The following is a 7,164-nucleotide window of genomic DNA, read 5'->3' on the forward strand; positions in this document are numbered from 1 at the left end:
TCCCTATTGGTCGCTGGCCTGCACGTGCTGAATGTAGGTTTCACTATGCCTGATTTCATTATTTCATAGGTTTCCCTATGCCTGATTTTAGTGCTACATTAGCATCAGCTCTTGGTGTCTGTAATTTGGTCAACAAGATGCCGGCTAGAGATACACCTTAAGAAACCCAGATGGCTGGCCGTCTGCCCCCACTCAAACATTGATTCATAGGCTCTTTCCTCTGCCTTCCTTCTTCCTCTTATTTTAGAGATGAGGTCTCACTCTGTTGCCCAGGCTGGAGTACAGTGGTGCAATCATAGCTCACTGCAGCATCCAACACCTGAGCTCTTGTGATCCTCCTGCCTGAGCTTCCAGAGTAGCTGGGACTACAGCTGTAAGCCACTACACTTGCCTGACTTTTAACATTTTTGTAGAGACGGGGTCTTGTTGTGTTGCCCAGGCTGGTCTCAAACTCTTGGCCTCAAGCCATCCTCCTGCCTCTGCCTCCCAAAGTGATGAGATTACAGACATGACCCACCATGCCTGGCTTGCCTAAGGTTTTCACTTGCTCAGACAATTAAGAAGATATTTGTTAAAGAAGTCTGCAGTGTCTAGATTCAATTAAGAAGATATTTATTAAAGAGGTCTGCAGTGTCTAGATTCAAGTTGTTGTTTTCTAAACAGTATCTACTAAAATGAGTAGTTGTACTTGCTTGGATCTGATTGCACCACACATCTTCCATTCTATTCATTCAGGGGTGGATCGTGTGTTTATTAATGGAAGCACACCCCCTGCAGTGTGTTCATTTCATTAGTCCCATCTGAGAGTAAAGGAAACTGACAGTTTAAGTGGAAGGACATCACAGAAATCCCTGCTACTCGCACTACACCTTACCCTCTCACTGGCATGACCTTATTTGGTTTTCACAGAGGCCCCGCTTGCTACGTGAGTTACCTGCTATTCCCTCTTTCTCAGCAGATTAGGAGACAGGGAAGGGTTCTGGGCTAAACAATTCACCCAAGGTCCCATGGAAGGTCAGTCATAGAACAGAAACCCAAATGCTGGCCTCTCACCTCCTGGCTCAGCCCTCTCTCCACCCCCACATGCTCTTAAACTACAGTGAGTCAGTGGGACAGGAACAGAGTTTGGACTGAAGACAAGGAGGCGCTGACATCAGTGGAATGAAAAGAAGCCAAATTAAAGACACTTTCTAATTGCCCAGAAGGGGATGAGGACAATCCTGAAGCCCTTCCTGACTGAAGGCACGTCTCTCGCTGCAGAGGCACAGCTCCCAGCTCTGGCTGCAGAAGCCCAGATGGATCAGGGCCTAGAGCCTCAGCCTCAGGCTCCCCATTCACCAGAAGCCTAGGAGCTTCTCCTGCAGTAAAGTTGCTGTCTGTGACTGCACACCCTCCCTCCTGCTTTTCTCCTTCCTGCCTATTGAGTACACCTAGTGGAGCCCATCATGAGAAGGACTCACTAGAATGCAAAATGGCTTTGGATGAGTTGTTCCTTTTGGGAAAGGAATGCCTCTCTTGTTGCCTTTGTCCTGGGCTAGGTTTTTATGCAGTGGTTGGCATCATTTGCTCAAAAGAAGAGAAGAGAAGAAACAGCTGGATATTTATTTTTTGTTGCTTTTGGTGGGTTTTTTGTTTGTTTGCTAATGCATTTTTCAATCATTTACAGAAAACTATTCCTCTAGAGAGGGAGAAGGTTGATTATTAGCAGGAAAAAAGAGGTAATAGAGGAACAAGTCCAAACATGTCCTTCAGGAACGTGGCTCAATATTTCCCCTTATTTGCATGAGTGAAAAGAGAATCCCGAGGATGGTTTTGAGGTCAGCAGCTGATCGCCCCCTTCTCCCCTGCTTTGAATGAGATTTTTGCAGTTCCACTTGTTTTTGGATCCCAGCAAAATGAACATTGACATTTAAAATGAACACGAAAGGAATAACATTTTGGGAGAGGCTTAGTTGATATTACAGTTTTAGGAATTAAGATACAAACAGCAAGAGGGTCCTGAAAGTAATAATAATATCTGTAAGGATAATGATTGTTAAAGTAGCCACTATGTACTAGGTTCTGCCATGTTGAAATATACGTATATGTTTATTGTTCACTACTCCTATTAAGACACAAATTGTAGACGTGAGTATTCCTCTTTCACAGATTAAAACAAAATCCCAAGACAATTTTTCAAGCTCAGCACAGCAAAATGACTTACCCATGCCCAAAGCAGAGGAACTATAGCTTGGGATTAAATCCATCTAGCTTGCCAAACCATAGTCTTTGGCAAATGTTTACATCCTTATTGCTGTGATGAAGTTGCTTATACCTCTAGTATTATAAGATCAGGGGACTGGTGGCCTGGACTGAAGCTCAGGTGGCTATTGCATTTCTAATGAGGTCTCCGTATATTTCAAACTTTGAGAGTTCAAAAACCCAGCTTCATCCATTCATCCAAGGGTGACAAAGTACTGGCAAGTTGATTTGCAAGAGCCAGATTTATAAAAGCTTTTTTTTCATGCCAGGATGCTGACTGCTTAGTTTTAGCAAGGTGACTTTCCCTTTCTGATCATATTTAGATCAATTCCTTAGAAAGACTAATCTAGCTGTTGGAGGTAGGTAGATTGGAACAAATAGGAGGGAAAGGTGCAGAGAGCAGTTTGGAATAAAAGTAATGAGTACAAGAATTAAGATAATGGAGTTGGAAGTAGGAAAGACGTAGTGATATGAGACAGACCCTGTGGGCAAATAATCCACCTGACTCAGCAGCTGTCTGACCTCAGGGAGAGAAAGAAAGAGGAATCAAAAAGTTGAGATTTCCAGTTTGGTGATGAAGAGATGGGCGACTTCATTTTAAGGAAGTAACTACAACACAAGGTGAGTTGAGATTTGAGCATAGGGACTTTAAATTTCAAGTCCAAAAGCAGCTATCAATTTAGCACCTAAAGTTGTAGGACTGACTAGGATAAAAATATATTTGGGGGATTTTCAAGGACCATTGCAAATACACAGGGCATCTAGGTTGAAATTTATTGAGGGCAGGAATGATGACTCTTAGTTATTTGTATCACTTATGACATATCTCCCTCCTACTATCCAGCCCCAGTGCCAACCCCATTCTCTGCATCTCAGATTCCTCGGTAACTTCATGTCATGGAATTCTAACAAGTTTTGGCTGATTGATATAGCAAAACGTAAGTACTGGGGGCCTTTTCTTCGCAGCTCTAGAGAAGCATTACTTGTCACATTTAGGAATGTTGTCTTTCTTTTTGGGAGGATGTTTCCCTACTCAGTTTAGATACTGGGTGTAGCTGTGGGGCTCACCCATAGGTTTTTCTTTACCCCTGTGTGACCAAGAAAAGAAAACCTAGAAGAGGAAGATGCAGCCAGCTGATGTATTTGTTTGATATTCCAAGGGATATAAATTTAGGCACAGCTGGGAGGAGAAAAGAGTTTCTACATACCGTGGGAAGGGGCGCTGACTTCATTCCCACACTGGAGCTTCCAGACAACCTGGAAGTGTCCATAGTTCAGGCATCCTGCCATAGATAGCGTGACTCAGGTTCCCTGAGGCTCACAAGCCTTGTTTGGCCCATTATCCTTGCCAATCCACTTGAGATTCCTAAGAGTAAAATTTCACTACAGTGGGAAACAATCAGAACCCAGTAGGTATTTCTAACTAGATGAAAACCAAGAAATCTTCATTATTATGGTTGTAATTTTTAAAGAACTTCACTTAATCAAAAATCCTCCCTGGACCTCCAAGCCTATTCTTCTTCCTTGTAAAAGATTATGGTAATAATTAACAATAATGTCATTATCATATCTTACATATAATAGTTATCTAAGAACAGCAACATTTCACATTTATGATTGTGTATTAAATGCCAGGCAGCACCTTACACTCATCACATTTAACTTTCACAACACTTTTCCATAATTATTTTAATTTGGTATTTTTTATCCCCATTTTGTTTGTTGTTTCATAATCCTGGACTCTCAGAAGAGAATATTTGGAGGTCATCCAGGCTAGACTCAGTCATGAAGTTGGCTGGCAATGTTATTGAAGAATAAGCCTGTCTGATTTCCACTTTTTCTAGCCTCCTAAACACTGACCTATCAGTACTATCTTGGATTCTTTATGTCGTGGAGTGTCTGCCACAATTTTTACTTCCTCAACTGCTAAACAACACCTCATCCTGCATCCCAGAGTCCACCACACAAGACTCTGGGAGTCCTTTTTGCCCATGCAGGAAGCATTAAACCCATTTATCCCATCTCTTATCCAGTGTGTACCAGGAACCATTTCTTTACTCTAATGTTTCTCAAGGAGCCAATGATTCCCCAAGATTGTTTTGAATTAAAAGCAACCTTGCATACACATATATGCACCCTCTTTTTCTCTACAACCCATGACAACATCAAAAGTTCAGAAAAAGTGTATCTTTTACTCCATTAATCTCTACCCAAAAAGAGTCAGTAGTAATCTAGCCACTCGACAAATAGCAAATGATGGCATTGAAAAGTATACCTGCCACATAAAAGTAAAGCACTTGAAATCTACATTCAGAATCTCTTTCAAATTTTTGAGTAGGCCATTAACATAAGAAAAAAAGAATCTGAAAATTTACATCACAAATGTGTGCTTAGAACAGATCTATGAATTTCATAACACACATGGAGTTGGCAGTTCTAGATTATGAATTTATATGTGATCCAGGTGCCCTTCTACCTACAAACTCTTTGTCCATTGGCATCTGGGTCTTAGCTTATGTAACATGAAGAGGTAACCTATGAAAATTGACTAATTGTCAGGTGACATTGTCAGCTGGCATGTCAGGTGGCCTCCTACCTCCACAGTGGGTGCCATTAAGGAAATGCTCAAGATGGGACTCAATGAACAACCTACGTGAGCAGGAGCTATGTGCCTTCCCTTGCAAGTCAACACACAAAAGAGGCTGTCTTGTCATGCTTCTGCTCCTCTCCTGAATCAAGAATGGCCATAACTCACACTGTCAGTGAATTTTCATTTCTTGAGCACTAAATTCAAAGAATCTGATAGGCACTTCTTTCACCTCCCAAATTTCCTGCAATATTGGTCTGTTGAACCGAATTGTTCTATCTAATATTCAGTTCTTTGTCTTCCTGAGTGCTGAAACCTAGGGGAGAGGTAACTAAAGAATGCTGTGACTAATTTTATGTTGGTTTCTGGTGTATTTTAACTGAAGAAATATGAAGTCTTATTATAGATGGCATATTCTCTGCTCAGAAATCACAAAGGAATACACTAATATGCAAATCACAATGCCTAACTTTTGTGTCAAAAGATCTGCAACCTGCAAGATGAGAAATGGCCAAGGGCCCAAGACTGATTCTCCAAAAGGCATTAAGTCTTACTTTCCCAAGGACACAAGGGTTGAGAGTCACGTTAAGAGTGTCCAGCTTCCCGGAAAAACTAGTCCTCATATTGAAACAAGATCCACTCGCTCTTAGGCTATTTACATCTGAGGTTTATTTTTTCAAGAAACCCAGATTAAACCACTTTTAAGGGCATTATTCAAATATTTTTCAATCTATCGTAGTTTCCGTGTTTTTAATCTCTACTTTGCCCATTTTTCCACTGCAGAACAAAGACAGGCTTGAAAAAAGACAGATGGGGCAAATGTGGAAGGTGGCGGCCACTTTAAATGACAGCTCCGCAACGGACAAAAACGGGCTCTCCTCATTATGTTCATGGAACACCAAATATGAAGAAATCAAGCTGCTTTAGGACTGAGACCCTTATGGCAGCTCATATTGCATTGGGAAAAAATGTTAACATTAATAAGTTACATAAGAAAAATGTCCAAGATCAACACATTCAAGGCCATTATAAATACTAGCATATACATTCAGAAATGCAATTACACCATCAGCATGAACACGCAGGAAAAGAAAATTCCTATTTGCATGGCTGTGAGGTTTCTTCTGGTTGCCAGCAATTTCCAGAGTGTATTGAAATTTTCAAATTAACTGAGGACATTTTAGTCAATTTTATCTCTCAATGCTTTTGTGTCACTTTTTCTTCAAGGTCTGTGCATTTTGCTGATTGAAATGCTCAAACATTTATTCATTTATTCATCTCAAAGGCACAGATCATCATTATGACTTTTTTTTTTTGAAAAAATAGTGTCAGAACTTTCTAATGTTCTTTTCTGTCTCTTTTCTCCAAATACTTTCCCTCTTCATAACCCTCTTTCTCCCCAGGGGACTTTCTATTGCTTCTATAGGGAATTTTTTCAACGTCTGGTCTTTAAAAAGAATTCCTCTTTAATCCTAAAGCATTCTATGGAGAAATCAGTTTCCAGAAGTTAGAATAAAATTCCATGTGCATGCCTGGGTCTGGGACAGGGTGCGGGAAAAGAAGAAATGTTGGTATGTAATCTTAAAATTCAAATGCTGTTCAGTAGTGGCATACCATCTGAACTAGCTGCAAATGGTAAATAAACCCAGCTTGTAACTTAATGATCCTTGTGTTTGTGTGTCTGTGAATACATTAAGAACTCTCAAAGAAAAAATTGTGGAATCATAAATAAAAGACAGCAGTGAATCACAGACAGTCACACAGAAACAAGACACCATCCTCCCATATGCCTGTGTGGATATTGATGTGGGTTCCTCACCTTTTCGGTTTGCAGTGGCAGCATGAGACCCACTCTAGATGCTGTGGCACAGGGAGAGGTTTGATGGTCTTCATTACATATTGTCTGCCCTGCAAAAATCATCTGCTTTGCTTGGAATTGATTTCAAAACCAGATTCATGCAGTGCCTGTTACACCACGATAAACAAATAAATTAGCTGCTGCAATATGGAAATTTACATGATTCAGTGTACTTAAAAACTGTTAACTGTGAACTTATTAATTGAAAGCCACAGGACAATAATCAGCATGTCCTTCAGTAGGAAAACGAATCTCTTGTTAAAGCGAATTTGTAAGGCAATAAAGATGTATTTTTTCAAATAAATGTATGCCTCAAGCCATTTGATGTGATATTTTTAACTTCAACTTTCGGTGGCTCGTGCTTTGTTTGTGGACTACATATTGATTTGTTTCCTGAAAACGTGTAGTGTAACTCTACATTCCCACATGGGTTTTTTTCCACCGCACCATGCAGGTTATATTCATTCCAGTCAATCTT

The 7,164-nt window shown here is 40.4% G+C and overlaps 1 long non-coding RNA gene across 1 annotated transcript, besides 1 other annotated feature; it reads left to right on the forward strand.

Moving 5' to 3' along the window:
- Positions 1,213–2,412: an enhancer, noted in NCBI's record as "BRD4-independent group 4 enhancer chr10:33993045-33994244 (GRCh37/hg19 assembly coordinates)". NCBI's record gives its function as "activates an origin of replication core promoter dependent on BRD2, P300/CBP, MED14 and CDK7 cofactors, and independent of BRD4, by STARR-seq in HCT116 cells {active_cell/tissue: HCT116}" and the evidence as "EXISTENCE:reporter gene assay evidence [ECO:0000049][PMID:35650434]".
- On the forward strand, positions 3,084–6,489 carry LOC124902408 (uncharacterized). The gene is made up of 2 exons (XR_007062108.1): positions 3,084–3,179; positions 5,612–6,489. It is a non-coding gene; the product is annotated as an uncharacterized LOC124902408 (long non-coding RNA).
- Positions 6,490–7,164: the final 675 nt, after the last annotated feature.

This window comes from Homo sapiens, chromosome 10 (genome assembly GCF_000001405.40).
Source record: "Homo sapiens chromosome 10, GRCh38.p14 Primary Assembly".
Taxonomy (NCBI): domain Eukaryota; kingdom Metazoa; phylum Chordata; class Mammalia; order Primates; family Hominidae; genus Homo; species Homo sapiens.